At 52.1% G+C, this 15,265-nt stretch overlaps 6 annotated features.

Moving 5' to 3' along the window:
• Window positions 2,162-2,662: an enhancer, noted in NCBI's record as "H3K4me1 hESC enhancer chr16:84837954-84838454 (GRCh37/hg19 assembly coordinates)". NCBI's record gives its function as "activates a minimal SCP1, AML or CMV promoter by ChIP-STARR-seq in naive and primed H9 embryonic stem cells {active_cell/tissue: H9 hESC(naive and primed)}" and the evidence as "EXISTENCE:reporter gene assay evidence [ECO:0000049][PMID:30033119]".
• Window positions 3,830-4,408: an enhancer, noted in NCBI's record as "H3K27ac-H3K4me1 hESC enhancer chr16:84839622-84840200 (GRCh37/hg19 assembly coordinates)". NCBI's record gives its function as "activates a minimal SCP1, AML or CMV promoter by ChIP-STARR-seq in primed H9 embryonic stem cells {active_cell/tissue: H9 hESC(primed)}" and the evidence as "EXISTENCE:reporter gene assay evidence [ECO:0000049][PMID:30033119]".
• Window positions 4,370-4,569: a silencer, noted in NCBI's record as "fragment chr16:84840162-84840361 (GRCh37/hg19 assembly coordinates)". NCBI's record gives its function as "represses an EF-1alpha promoter that drives an FKBP-Casp9 reporter gene in an ReSE screen in K562 erythroleukemia cells {active_cell/tissue: K562}" and the evidence as "EXISTENCE:reporter gene assay evidence [ECO:0000049][PMID:32094911]".
• Window positions 4,370-4,985: a biological region, named in NCBI's record as "H3K27ac-H3K4me1 hESC enhancer GRCh37_chr16:84840201-84840777".
• Window positions 4,409-4,985: an enhancer, noted in NCBI's record as "H3K27ac-H3K4me1 hESC enhancer chr16:84840201-84840777 (GRCh37/hg19 assembly coordinates)". NCBI's record gives its function as "activates a minimal SCP1, AML or CMV promoter by ChIP-STARR-seq in primed H9 embryonic stem cells {active_cell/tissue: H9 hESC(primed)}" and the evidence as "EXISTENCE:reporter gene assay evidence [ECO:0000049][PMID:30033119]".
• Window positions 8,869-9,028: an enhancer, noted in NCBI's record as "active region_11256". NCBI's record gives its function as "activates an Ori minimal core promoter by ATAC-STARR-seq in GM12878 lymphoblastoid cells {active_cell/tissue: GM12878}" and the evidence as "EXISTENCE:reporter gene assay evidence [ECO:0000049][PMID:35858748]".

Here is a 15,265-nt window from a genome sequence, read left to right on the forward strand (position 1 = left end):
CAATTCTTCTGCCTCAGCCTCCCCAGTAGCTGGGATTACAGGCATGCGCCACCACGCCTGGCTAATTTTTGTATTTTTAGTAGAGACGGAGTTTCACCATGTTGGCCAGGCTGGTCTCGAACTCCTGACCTCAGATGATCTGCCTGCCTCGGACTCCCAAAGTGCTGGGATTATAGGTGTGAGCCACCGCACCCAGCCAGAACTTTTAGTGTTGTTGTTTGCTCCTGAAGCACGGAGGTTGATGTTCTCAGCCCCATTCCCCAGATGAGGAAAGCTGAGCCCTGGAGAGCCTGAGGAACATGCCCAGCGTCTCAAGTGAGGAAATGGTGGGCTAGGATCCAAACCCAGGAGGTGGGCAGCTGGCCACTGGGCCACAGCGCCTCCCCATAGGGTGAGTCCAGAGCCCCCAACCAAAATGGCGGATGGGCTGCAGGAGAAAGGAGGGACTGATGTGGCTTCTACCTGCGTCAAGTGGACCAGGTGTGGGACGAGTTTCAGGGGAGCAGGAAGGGAAGAGAGGAGTCAAGAATCCTCGACTGGCTGGGCGTGGTGGCTCGTGCCTGTAATTCCAGCACTTTGGGAGGCCGAGGTGGGTGGTTCACGAGGTCAGGAGTTCGAGACCAGCCTGACCAACATGGTGAAACCCCATCTCTACTAAAAATACAAAAATGAGCCGGGCGTGGTGGCACTTGCCTGTAGTCCCAGCTACTCAGGAGGCTGGGGCAGGAGAATCGCTTGAATCTGGGAGGCGGAAGTTGCAGTGAGCTGAGATCACGCCACTGCACTCCAGCCTGGGTAACAGGGCGAGACCCTATCTCAAAAAAAAAAAAAAAAAAAAGGAGTCCTCGACCATGCCGTATGCTTCCAGTTACAGAATATTCTTGAACAGGCAAGCAAGTCTACAGCAAAGCAACAGAAAGCAGATCCATGGTTGCTGGGGGAGGTGGGACGCAGATGGGCGTGATGGGAACATTCTGTATCATGGTGGTAGTTGGGCGGGTATAGACATCTGTTCCTCATCCAGCTGTCCACTTAAATGGGTACACGTGCTTGTGTATAAACCCCACCCCCTGTAAGGTTGATGTTAAAAGTGCTTCTGAGGCCTCCTATTGGTGACATTGCCCAGGTCGGTGGACGTCAGGGGATCCTATTTCTTAGAACACAGGGATGTCTTTCCGTCATTTGAATTTCTGGCTAGCCGACCTTTTTCCTCCTCAGCTGGAGCCCCTACCTGCCTCGGGGGACTAGGAAAGCTTAGCAGAACCTCAGCAGGAAAGCAACTTGTTTAGCTTTTAGAGTTCTCAGTGAGACCAGAGCCCTGGGAAGGAATGAAGAGGGGAACGGGGTTGCCCACATCCTTTGCACCCCTTTTGCATCAAGAGTCAGGCCCGTGGTCCTTGGCAAACTCACGCAGGAACCGAAAACCAAATACCGCACGTTCTCACTGATAAGTGGGAGTTAAACGATGAGAAGACATGGACGCATAGAAGGGAACACCACCCACTGGGGCCTGTCGGAGGGTGGAGGGTGGGAGCGGGGAGGGGATCAGGAAGAAGAACTCATGGATACTGGGCTTAATACCTGAGTGACGAAATAGTCTGTACAACAAACCCTCGTGACACACGTTTACCTAAGTAACAAACCTGCACATCCTGCACATGTACCCTGGAAATTAAAAGTTTTTTTTAAAAAAACGATTGTTTTACAAAGTCAGTGAAAAAAGGGCCAGGCGCGGTGGCTCACGCCTGTAATCCCAGCACTTTGGGAGGCCGAAGCAGGCGGATCATGAGGTCAGTAGATCGAGACCATCCTGGCTAACACGGTGAAACCCTGTCTCTACTAAAAATACAAAAAAATTAGCCGGGCATGGTGGCGGGCGCCTGTAGTCCCAGCTACTCCGGAGGCTGAGGCAGGAGAATGGCGTGGACCCAGGAGGCGGAGCTTGCAGTGAGCCAAGATTGCACCACTGCACTCCAGCCTGGGTGACAGAGCGAGACTCCGTCTCAAAACAAAAACAAAAAGAAAAACAAAAACAAAAAAACAACAAAGTCAGTGAGAAATTTAAAAGAAAAAAAAAGGTCAGGCCTATTGAACTTCAAACTTATTATCAGCCAGAGGGGATGGAAAACCCAGTGCCTCATGGAAGGAACACCCCAAACATAAGAAGGTGGAAAATCCTCCCTCCCAGCTCCAGCAAGGTGAGCGGACAGGTGAAAAAGAGCTTCTGCCCCTGGTCGGGACCCTGGAGTCAAGGGAGGAGGCAGATTAAGGAGGAGGCTGAGAGCGAACGTGTTACGAGGCAGCTCCCTCCAGTGCAAGGTGGAGGACAGCCCTCGTGCACAGTGGAGCAGCCCCAGCCTGGGTGACTCCCCAAGCCCTGTAGGCCGATGTGGCCCGGTATGTCCAAGCTTGCTGGAGTGGGTTAACTGGTGGCCCCCAGAATGATATATCCAAGCCCTGATGCCCAGAACCCGTGAATGTGACCTTATTTGGAAAAAGAATCTGGCTGGGCACGGTGGTTCATGCCTGTAATCCCAGCACTTTGAGAGGCCGACACAGGTGAATCATCTGAGGTCAGGAGTTCGAGATCAGCCTGGCCAACATGGTGAAACCCCACCTCTACTAAAAATACAAAAGTTAGCCGGACTTGGTGGTGCACATTTGTAATCCCAGCTACTCGGGAGGCTGAGGCACGAGAATCGCTTGAACCCAGGAGGCGGAGGTTGCAGTGACCCGAGATCACACCACCGCACTCCAACCTGGGTGATGGAGCGAGACCACATCTAAAATAAATAAATAAATAAATAAATAGGCTGGCTGCGATGGCTCACGCCTGTAATCCCAGCCCTTTGGGAGGCCGAAGTGAGTGGACCACAAGGTCAAGAGATTGAGATCATCCTGGCCAACATGGTGAAACCCCGCCTCTACTAAAAATACAAAAATTAGCTGGGCGTGGTGGCGCACGCCCGTAGTCCCAGCTATTCGGGAGGCTGAGGCAGGAGAATCACTTGAACCTGGGAGGCGGAGGTTGCAGTGAGCCGAGATCAGGCCACCGCACTCCAGCCTGGGCAACAGAGTGAGACTCTGTCTCAAAAAAAAAAAAAAAAAAAGAAAGAAAAAGTATCTTTGCTGTAATCAATAGAAGGTCTTGAGATGAGGCCATCCTGGATGACCATGTGTGCCCTAAGTGCAACCATGAATGTCCGTATAAGAAGAGAAGAAGGCTACGCGAGGACAGAGGCAGCGATGGGAGTGATGCGGCCACAAGCCAAGGAACACCTGGGGCCCCTGGAAGCTGGAAGAGGCAGGAAGGATCTTCCCTCTCTCCACTCTGCAGACGCTTTGATTTCAGACCGCTGGCCTCCGGAACCGGGAGAGAACACATCTCTATTGCTAGCCACCCAGTTTGCAGCAGTTTATTAGGACATCCCCGGGAAATTAATCACGGCTCCTGTCATGTAAAAAGATCGGTGGGTGGGCTCCGTCTTTGCCTCTCTGCAAAACCGTGAAGTCCCTAAACTTCCTTCCCACTCATCTAGGGGGAGAGGAGAGGAAGGAGGGAAAGAGCGAGGGCCCTGAGTGGCTCTGAGTGCACATGGGTGGGCTAGTTGCTGCAGAGACCACTGCAAATTAACAGAGATGATATAGAGAGACTGAGGCTGAGCATGGTGGCTCACACCTGTAAGCAGCACTTTGGGAGGCAGAGGCAGGCGGATCACTTGAGGTCAGGAGTTTGAAACCAGCCTGGCCAACACGGTGAAACCCCATCTCTACTAAAAATACAAAAATTAGCCAGGCATGGTGGTACAAGCCTGTAATCCCAGTACTTCGGGAGTCTGAGGCAGGCAGATCGCTTGACATCAGGGGTTTGAAACCAGTCTGGCCAACATGATAAAACCCCGTCTCTACTAAAAATACAAAAATTAGCCGGGCATGGTGGCACATGCCTGTAATCCCAAATACTGGGGAGGCTGAGGCAGGAGAATCACTTGAGCCCCGAAGGCGGAGGTTGCAGTGAGCTGAGATTGCACCACTGCACTCCAGTCTGGGTGACAGAGTGAGGCTCCGACTCAGAAAAAAAAAAAAAGAAACCAAGAGATGTCCTGTTGTCAAGGTTAAGTACTACCCCACCCCTCAACTGCCCTGTTAGGGAAAATAAGGCAGTTGCATTTTCAGACACGCAAGTGGGACCCGCCGAGATTAAAAATGCAAGAAGCAGCGGTTCACAGGATGCCGAGGATGACTGGACTTCCTGTCCACCCCCTGGGCCTGGCCAGAGCTTCTGCAGGCACTTCAGGCTCCCCTGATGGTGGCGGTGATGCCGTGGGTGCTCGGGGACAGTGGGAATGCAGTGACACCACTCGGGCTAGAGAACCCCCCGGAGGCTCTTGCATTGGTCGTCCTGGGCCATGCACAGCCTGGAACTGGCCGCTATCCAATTTTGCATCTGGGAAGTGTTCATCGATTGCTAGAAAAATAATCAGGTCGAACGCAGGCCATTTCCGGTAAAGAGGCTCTAGGGAAGCACCTTCAGGCCAGATGACTCAGGACTGTGCGGAGTGTGTGTGGTCTGGGAGCCGGCTGCCTGCCGGGCCCGGGTGCTCTGCAGGGAAACAGTTGGCTGCCTGAGGGCTCATTCATGGCTGTTTCCCCTGGAAGGGCGGCGCAGGAGCCCGGTTCTGCAGCCCTGCCGACGCCGTGTCACAGACACAGCTCTTCATGGATGCATCTGGTTTCCCATGGCTGCGGTAACAAGTGACCACAAGGTTGGCGGCTGGAAACAGCTTAAGTATCCCATCTTACGGTTCTGGAGGTCAGAAGTCTGAGATCGGCATCACTGGGCTAAAGTCAAGGTGTGGGCGGGGCTGGTTGCTCCTGGAACCTCCAGGGGAGAATCGTCTCCTTGACTTTTCCAGCTTCTAGAGGCTGCCTGTACTCCTGGGCTCATGGCCCCTTCGTCCATCCTCAGAGTGCATCACTCCAACCTCGGCTTCCATCATCACAGCACCTTCTCTTCTGACGCTGACCCTCTGGCCTCCCTCTTACAAGGGAGGCTTGTGATTCCGTGGGGGCCACAGGAGAATTCAGGCCGCTCTTCCCATGTCACCACCCTTAGCAGAATCACGTCTGCAGAGGCCCCGTTACAATGAATGCTGGGTCCAATCGCGTTTCCCAAAAATCCATGTCCACCTGGGACCTCAGAATGGGACCTTATATGGAACTAGGGTCTCTGCAGATGTAATCACATTAAGATGATGTCACACTCAACTAGGATGGGCCCTAATCTAGTGCCTGATGTCTTCATAAGAAGAGGAAAGTTTGGACACAGATGCACCGGGAAGGTGGCCATGTGAAGAGGAAGTCGGAGATTGGAATGGCCACAGACGGGACATCAGGCATTGCCGGCCACCAGAAGCTGAGACATGTGCAGATGGATCCTCCCTAGGCCCTTCGGGAAGAGCATGGCCCCTTCGACACCTTGATCTTGGACTCCTGGCCTCCAGGACTGTGGGAAAATGCGTTTGCGTTGTTTGAAGCCCCCTGTTTCTGGTACTTAGTTACAGCCGCCCTAGGAGCAAATGCATCGTGTAAGGGCACATTTGCAAGCTCCAGGAGTCAGGAACAGGCCTAGACGGGGTGCCATTATTCAGCCCTCCACAGACCCTTAGCAGGGCGGAGAAATGGGCCAAGCCCCCTGTCAAGGAAGAGCTGGAGAGTGGAGAGGGCACCTGGAAGGGTGTCAGAGTGGCGTGGCTCTGCAGAACGGGGCCTGTCACAGGGCAGGTGCTCAAGCCCATGTGGATAAGGTGCGTAAGTTGAGACTGTCACATGTGAAGGTGGCCTCTGCTGCCAGGCGGGCCATGAGACTCTTTTTTTTTTTTTTTTTTTTTTTTTTTTTTACACAGAATCTTGCTCTGTTACCCAGGCTGGAGTGCAGTGGTGTGATCTCGGCTCACTGCAATCTCTGCCTCCTGGGCTCAAGTGATTTTCCCACCTCGCCTCAGCCTCCCAACTAGCTGGGAATACAGGCATGCACCACCATGCCCGGCTAATTTTTTGTTTTTTGTAGGGATGAGCGTCTTGCTATGTCGCTCAGGCTGGTCTTGAACTCCTGGCCTCAAGTGATCCTCTTGCCTTGGCCTCTCAAAGTGCTGGGATTATAGGCGTGCGCCACTGCACCCGGCCTGAGACCTTTTCTTTCTTTCTTTTCTTTTCCTTTTTTTTTTTTAATTGAGGCGGAGGTTCTCTCTTGTTGCCCAGGCTGGAGTGCAATTGTGCGATCTCGGGTCACTGCAACCTCCACCTCCCAGATTCTCCTGCCTCAGCCTCCGAAGTAGCTGGGATAACAATCATGCGCCACCACGCCCAGCTAAGGTTTTTTATTTTTAGTAGAGACAGGTTTTCACCATGTTGGCCAGGTGGGTCTTGAACTCCTGACCTCAAGTGATCTGCCCTCTTCGGCCTCCCAAAGTGCTGGGATTACAGGCGTGAACCACTGCACCCGGCCTGAGACCATTTTTTAAAAGTGTACATAGACCCCAACTGGGTGAGCTAATGGAACCACCTCAGTATTCCAGAGCAAGACACAGAAGGACGCTGAGGGAGGGACTGACCCTGGGACACTGGGATCCCAAATCCCTGGTCGTCTTGGTGCCTGCCTTCAACACACCTGCCTCTCCTCATGTGGGCTAACCTGGCATCTGAGTCTGTTTCAGACACTAATTTCTTCCCTGTTCCTAGAGCACTGGATGGCCACACCCTCCTGCAGAGACAAACCTTTCTACTGCTCCATCCCCGCCCCAGGCTCCAACCCTGCGCTCCACCCAGAGGGGATGCTGGGAGGGATAGCTCTTCCTCCATGGGCCAGCCCTTAGCTCTGCGGGGGCGGGTGCTCTGTGTCCTCACTTCCCTAAGTGGACACATCTCTGGGGTTTTCATCTGTCCCAATTCCTGTACCACCCCAAGTACCAAGTGCCAGCTCATGGTGGAGGTCAGCGTAGGGCGGAGGCTGGGTGCCAGGCCCCGTTATTGTCTATCCTGGCAATAAAAATCCAATTGTTGTTAATGTCAGTGATAATTAATCTTTAGTTAAACCTTAATATTTACTATGTGCGCAAGCATTTACCTATTTTATTTTAATTCGTTGTACTGGATTGGGTGTTGGCCACCCAAAATTCGCGTCCGCTTGGATCCTCAGAAGGTGGTTTTGGAAATAGGGTCCTTGCAGATTTATTTAGTTAAGGTGAAGTCACACTGGAATTGGGTAGGCCCTAATGATTTATGTGTCTATAAGAGAAGACACAGGCCAGGCACAGTGGCTCACGCCTGTAATCCCAGCACTTTGGGAGGCCGAGGTGGGCGGATCACCTGAGGTCAGGAGTTCGAGACCAGCCTGACTAACATGGAGAAACCCCGTCTCTACTAAAAATACAAAATTAGCTGGGTGTGGTGGTGCATGCCTGTAATCCCAGCTACTCGGGAAGCTGAGGCAGGAGAATTGCTTGAACCCGGGAGGCGGAGGTTGCTGTGAGCTGAGATTGTACCATTGCACTCCAGCCTGGGCAACAAGAGCAAGACTCCGTCTCAAAAAAAAAAAAAAAAAAAAAAAAAAAAAAAGAAGACACACAGACACACACGGGGAGAGAAATGCAGTGACCATGGGGGCAGAGACTGGAGTGGTGCAGCCAGAAGCCAGGGAACTCCAGGGACCTCCAGGGGTCTCCAGGGACCTCCAGGGACCTCCAGGGGTCTCCAGGGACCTCCAGGGACCTCCAGGGGTCTCCAGGGATCTCCAGGGACCTCCAGGGGTCTGCAGTCACCAACAAAGCTGGCAGAGGCAGGGAGGACCCTCCTCTAGAGCCTTCAGAGGGAGCACAGCCCTGCCAGCATCTTGACATCACTTCTGGCCTTCAGAACTAGGAGTGAATACATTTCTGCTGGTTTAATTCACCCAGTTGGGGATAATTCGTATGGCAGTCCTGAGAAAGGAATGCTGTCATTTACCTGCTTATCAAGCTTTGACCAGAAACTCTACTTATTTGAATTTTTTTTCTGGGGTGGGGGTGAGTGGGGCAACCCATGGCAGGGTGATAGCAGTCATAGCGTTTATAGAGACCACAGTGTTGACGACTTGGAGAGCAAAGATGGAGGGGAGATTACTAATGACGAGAACTTCCGATAGTGAGCCCACCTGGCACACAGTGTTAGGAAGGGGTGTTATTATCATTCCCACTTTACAGATGCAACGCTGAGGTGCAGAGACACCAAGGCACGTCTCCAGGGTCTCAAGCCAGGAGGTGTTGGAGCTGGGGTTCACGCCCAACAGGGGACCTGGGGACCCAGCGTGGGTACTGCTGAGTCCTCGCCAGGGGCTTGGCGGGATAAGTTTCCATTCTGTTCCGGCCTGGTGTGGAGGGATCTGGGCTCACACAGGATCCAGCACACACCCTGAAGCCGGGGACACCATCTGCAGGACCTGCAACATCCAGAGGCCTGCCTTCTTCCTGGCCTGACAGGTTTAGAATCTTCCAGAAACCGCACCCTGGAGGTGAAGCCCAGGGCGCCGTCTCCTCTGGAGAAGCCTCCTGACTGTCCTCCAGGGGAGAAAGTGGTCACAGCCGCAGCATTTGCCAAAGGAGCCGCCCAGGGGATATTTTTCTGAGGAATTCCCGCTCCAGGTCATCACCCTAGTTCTCTGACTCCTAAGCTTGGATGATGAAGAAATGAAAGGGGCAGGAACTCAGGGGATGGTGGGAACCCAGGTATGCTTTGGGTATGAGCTTGGGCTGTCCAGGGGTGGTGGTTACAAAGCGGCCTGGGCAAAAAGTCTCTTACGACATCGCGCAGTAGAGCCCCCAGCTTCTCGTAGAGATGCAATCATCCTTCCGTTCTGTGGTTTTCCCCCAAGGTTGAAGAGGTGCCAGATGGAGGATTCAAAGGAAAGAAAGCCAAGATGCAATAACAAAAAAGAAACTCCCTTGTTCTAACATTAGGTCTATTTTCACTTTTCTTTTCCACTCTGTTGCCCAGGCTAGAGTGCAGTGGATCATGGCTCAGTGCAGCCTCAACCTCCCAGCCTCAAGCAATCCTCCCACCTCAGCCTTCCAAGTAGCTGGGAAGACCGAAGGGAATGCTGTCATTTACCTGGAAACAGGTGCATGTCACCACGTCCAGCTAATTTCTTTTGTGTAGAGATGGGGTCTCGCTGTATTGCCCAGGCTGTTCTTGAACTCCTGGCCTCGAGTGATCTTCCTGCCTCAGCCTCCCAAAGTGCTGGGATTCCAGGTGTGAGCCACCATGCCTGGCCTATTTTCACTTTTAAACTAAAGGCGTATCAGGTTTAGCTACTGTGGGTAACAAACACCGTTCCCCTTCTCCCTCACCTAAATGGGGATATAAATGTATCTCTCCTTTATGTAGAAGAAGTCTGACCTAGGCAGTGGGACTGGTATAGAGACCTACAGTGTCAGGGATTCAAGACCCACCATTTGTGCCTTCTGTTCCGAAGGCACCTCATGGGCCAATGTGGCTGCTTTGCTCCAGCCATCATACCCTCATTCCAGGTAGGAAGGAGGAAGGAGAACATGAAGGACACACCTCCTCCTCCCTTTAGAGAGATGTCCTAGAAGTCATACACAACTGTCCCACTCACTTCTCTTTGGCTAAAACTTATTTCTATGGACAGGAGAAGCTGCAAGGCAGGCAGGGGAGTATCATCTTTAGTTGAGTGACAGTGCACACATTTAGAAGTCAGGAATCTTCCTATTATTAAGGAAGAAAGCAGATAAGATATTGGGAGGCAACTTGAGCCGTCTGTGCCACTGCTGGGGACTTTTGTGGTAGAAGGGACCTGGCCCTGAGATGGAGACTTGGGAAGCTGGCGTTAGAGTCCCAGGGCAGCCACCAACTGCCACCCTGGGTGTTGATGACTTGGCAGCCTCATCACTTTTTTAGATCTTTCCTTGGCTTCGGAGGAAGGATTTACGAGCATTCCAGGATACTTTTTTTATACTATTGAAACCATAAAAGCTTTTCCATCCTAAGCCTTGTGGCTAAAGCCTCCATGAATATTCCAGTACTTTCTAACCAAAGAATTCAAGAGGACACCTCCCTTCTGACCACCTCATTGCCTGAGCAGGTGTTCATCTCTAGCAGAAAGCTCACAGGTGGAACTCAGGACTTGAATAGATTCAGGGGGTGCTGGGAGAGAAAGGCCTGCACCTGACCTACAAGTAATGAATGACCACATGACAGAATTGTGAAAAGGTCGGGTTTTGGAGCCTGCTGGGTTCACTCCCTCGGTGACTCTTGCTGTGCCGTCCTTGGCACTTGTTTGATGCGTTGGAACCCCGGTTTTCTCCTTGACTAAATGGGGATCCTGCAGACCCCACCTCATCGTGTTGACATGAGGATGGGATGTAGGATTCCTGTAAAGCTTCCATAGGTGATGAACTTGCCATTCCCATTTCCCTCCCGTGTGTTACTCAGGCAGTGAGTGGCACACGGAGGGTGTAGGCTGTCCTGGTGTCCCTGAGACAGCCTCAGCAGGCCTGTGTATCTGCTGCTCCCTGAGCTGCACACTAAATGAAGCCTCTCTGGGTGAAGCCATTCTCTGGGCAGCCTGGGGCTCGCCAGGTGCCCACAGAGGAAGCATGCTGTTCAGGGGGATGGGATGTCATGCTCTTTGATGCCAGGAGCTCTTCCTCCAAGCCACCCTCACCACAGATCCCCCAGGATCTGTCCAAAATGGAAGCCTCGCCTTTCTGGGGCTCCTCATTCTCTGTTCCCCGTGGGTTGGAGTCTAAATTCCTTTGCAGGTTTCACTCTAGTGAAGGTTCGAGTCTAAAATGATTTGCAGGCATCCACCTCTCCAGCCTCGCCTCCATCCTGGGATTCTCACACCCGCGCTTTCCTGCCTCCAACCTGCACACACCATCCTCTGCCCGGAGAGCCCTGAGCCTGTCTCCTGTGTGTCCTTCTAGATCCATCTATCTTGCCCTTCTCTCTGCCGAGCCCCCCTTCCTTGGGGGAGCTGCTCCTCCCTCACGCAGATTATGTGACCCTGGCAGGGAGCATGTCACGCAGGCTAGCCAGTCACAAGGTCCCTATCCCCTGGCCACAGCCATGGGCTTGTTCCAATGGCCGGATGTCTCAAGTTGGATTCCCTCCCAAACAGATTCTGAGACAGGATGTGGGTGCAAGTAGTTTACTTGAGAGATGATCCCAGGAAATACCAGGGGAGAGTGGGGATGTGAGCTAGGAAAGGCAGCCCATCAAGGGTGGACTATGGAGTCAGCCGCCAGTGGGGGCCCCTGGAGCTCAATCCCACAGGGGACTCTGGGAGCCACTGTGGAGCACACCTCAGGGTCCCCCAGAGAGGTGAGAAAGCTGGGACGTGAGTGCCCCTGTGCCTGTGAAATCATTGGTTGAGGCTGCTGCTGAGTGGCATGACCCACGTTGATTCTAGCCTGCCACAAGTTCCCGTGCACAGCGAAAGTGCTCATGCCGAGGAACACATGTACTGGCGGTAGGAGGTGAGGGTGCGAGGACCAGGATGGGGCATGATGTCATCTGCCAGAGAGGTCATGTGACCCAAGCCAGCCAATCAGTGCCTTTCCCTGGGATTTTTGTTTCTCGATTTGCAGCAAAGTTGGGTGGTGCCAGTCCTGCTGGTCGCAGGGCTGGAGAGGTTGAGTTGATAGCTGCCAGAGACCATCGTCTCTTCCTCCCAGAGTAACAGGAGGGAATATGGCCATGGCTAGGTAGAACCAGGAGGAGAGGGGAGCTGAGGAGAGGGCAGGAGACAATGGCTGTTGTGATTGAGGTCCTGGGCTGAACCTGAAGCCCATCCCTCCCCCTGGATACTTCTGTGACTGCATTTAGCCCGAAAGACAGTGTCTGCCGGTCACCCAGGGTCCCTCCATCAAAATCTCTGTGTCACATCTGCCTTACTCATCTCTTTTCCCTCGTAATGCCCGGTCCAAAGAAAGTCCTCCATGAAGGTCATCAAAAAGAAGAAAAAAATGAACTCGCATTTCACAGCCCTCATCATTAATTTATTTTTAAAAATCTATTTACATTTTCTGCCTGTATTACTTCTTGTGGGGTAACACGAGTTGGATAAATTTGTTGTCGGCTGTTGGATGAATAATTTCCTTTAATTTGCCCTAAATTACCTAAACAGTAAGGGGGTGCCCATCATATTCTGGAATTTGGTGTTCACTTTTCCTACGTGACTCATAGTTTTTTATAGTTAACTAATACTGACCAGGTGTGGTGGCTCATGCCTGTAATCCCAGCACTTTGGGAGGCCAAGGTGAGAAGATTGCTAGAGCCCAGGAGGTCGAGGCTGCAGTGAGCCATGATTATGCCACTGTACTCCGCTTGGGTGACAGAGGGAAACCCTGTCTCAAATAGTAACAAATAATAATAATAATACCACAGCTCAGTCTTTGGCTTCCCAAGCTCTCCTTGTAAAAAGTCATCTCCTCTATTGCTGCATAGACTTCCCTGGTTCCTTCCTATTTCTCTCCCACATTTGTCAGTGAGTTACCGAGCAGGCAGCAGATGCTCAACATATATTCACTGGCTAAATGGATGAATGCACGACAGCCTGTGAGAACAGCAGTAACTCCTGAGTCCCTCTTTGCAAACTTTGGGGTTGTTAACTTAGTTTGGGTTCCCAGAAGCAAACCTTGAGCTGAGGCTTTGAGGGCAGGTAGTCTATTTGAGAGGTGCAAGAAACATAGGAAAGAGATGGGTAAATGATCCAGGGAAAGGAAGAGAGCTGATACAGTGTAGGTTATTAAGCCAGCTACCACATGGCCAATTGGAAAATCCCTCTGGAAAACTCCGGGAAACAGCTCTGAATCATCCCAGCCAAGGACGAGAAATCTGGGGTATTTATATCCCCATCCCCATTTGCTGTTATTAGCCATTGTCCCAGGGGATATTAAATCCTAGGCACTCATGGGCCACCATGCTCATGTGCTGTGTGGGTTCTGATAGCTCAGGGACAGCCCTCCAGCAAAGACACAGGTGTGGCTGTTGGAAGTCAGGTTGGCCTTCACAGAGATGGCTGGGATCTGTGAGGACAGTCGGCTTCAGTCCTAGATGTAGATTATTTACCCAAAGCTGTTGTCCCACTAAATTTGGGGCTTTTTTCTGGATGTGTCTACAGACACTGCACAGACTCTGCTGTGATCAACCCCACCAGCCCACAGCACTATTTCATCATGCTTGTGCAGCCCGATAACTTCCCTTGGTGTCACTCAGTTGAGCTGCAGGTGGACGTCTGCTCCCAACAGACAATTCGATTCTCCCTCTAGGAAGTAGAAGTGGGAGATGGTGAGGCACAGCCTGAGCTGGGCTCTGGGACAGAGGAGAGGTGACCCCCCAAGCTGACGGGATGGCCATGTCCACAGGGAATAGGCGAGGCCTGGCTGCAGAGGGAGACGGGAATCATGTCCAGAGAAGGAGGAAATAGACGGAAAGCACTGCCAGAGGGCCTGGTGCCTTTCCAGGATTCACTCTAGTTGTCTGAGAGTCTTACTTGCCTTGGGTTCCCAAATAACTCAGTATCCTCCCAAGCAGTTCCCTTCTCTGCTTCAGCTAACTTGAGTGGATTTCTGTTACTTGCAACTCCAATTGATTAAGACCTCGCCCCCAGAGCTCCCCACTGTAGGGTCTCCACTGCCCCCAGAGAGTGGCCTGCCGGTGTAAGATGTACAAGGTGTCACCCTTGCCCCCTCCTCTCCAACAAGGCAGACAAGTGGGTCCCATGGAGAGCCTTGGAAGATCATGATTGGCACCTGTTAATACAGAGGTGGCACCATTTTTCCAAGTCTTCTGGAAAAGAGTTAGAAAAATGGCACCACATCACACATCACAAAATGGCACCCCTATGTCTCCTCGCCTCAAATTGTTAGTGGGTTTTTGTTTGTTTGTTTGTTTTGTTTTTCCTGTGAGACAGGGTCTGGCTTTGTTGCCCAGGCTGGAGTACAGAGTGCAGTGGTGCAATCACAGCTCACTGCAGCCTTGACCTCCTGAGCTCAAGCCGTCCTCCCACCTCAGCCTGCCGAGTAGCTGGGACGACAGGCACGCGCCACCATGCCTGGCTGATTTTTCTATTTTTTGTAGAGACGGGGTTTTGCCATGTTGCCCAGGCTTGTTAGTGGTCTTTGATGCCAAATTGAGGGCTGGTGACATTCTGCAGCTGCTGAATGGGTGTGGCAGGAACAAATGAAAAGCTGGGACTCCCCGGCCTTTGCTCTTGATGTCCAGTTCATAGAGCCTCCAATAAAAATAAATGATGAATAAGAAATTGGTGTGAGGACAGGAGCCCTACAGCAATCACATCGAGAGGAAAGAACGACCTTGATCTTTACATCACGTAATTAAACATTTATGACCGCCGGCCCCAGCCACCGTTCTGCAGACATGCATGCGGTCCTTCTGTCGGCCCATCTTGGTCCCAAGAGAGAGTGGGCAGAGGGCTGGGCTCTCCAGGGTGGCCCCACCAGGCTTTCCTGTTCGTTTTTCCAGGTTGGGCTTCATTGTGACCAGAAGGATGACTTTTTTCCTTTGTCTCAAACTGTCCATGACTTAACTCCCTGCCTGGGTAGCAAATAGGAGCCTTTCCTGGGATGTCCAAGGGTATCAGTGACCAGTCCCTTCCCAGGGGGCACTTGGGACGGGACTGGCCATCTTGCCCCTTTCCTTGGTACAAGTTGGTGCTCTCCCATCTGGGACTTCCCAGGGGTCCCCCTTGCCCATGAAACACCATTTTTTTTTTTTCAAATTCAAATGTTATTTTTTGGAAATTAGATTCTGAGATTGCAACATGATGGAAAAGTTGATCACCACTAAACTCCTCTCTCTCTCTTTGCTTTACTGGCTCTAATAATAACGGTATTAACTAACACTTTCTGTGTGTCAGGCCACGTATTACTTCCCATCTATTAACCATTTGTGCCCACAGAGAGAGACAGAGATGCCATTATTACCACATTCATTTCACAGATGGGGCATGGAACGCAGCGACATTAAGTGACTTGCTCAAGGCCAACAACTTGGAAGTGGAGGAGCTGGGATTTGAACTGAGCCTGATGCCGGATGATGACACAAACCAGCAAGCTAAGGATTCAGTCTGCCCCGTGGGTGAGACTGCCCGGACAGCAATCGTGGCTTGCAGAGCAGTGGTCTCTGGTTGCAGCTCTGCCAATGGGGTCCTTGGAGCGTCTGGGCTGGGCTGGGTCTCCCCAAA

This window comes from Homo sapiens, chromosome 16, assembly GCF_000001405.40.
Source record: "Homo sapiens chromosome 16, GRCh38.p14 Primary Assembly".
In the NCBI taxonomy this organism is placed as follows: Eukaryota; Metazoa; Chordata; class Mammalia; order Primates; family Hominidae; genus Homo; species Homo sapiens.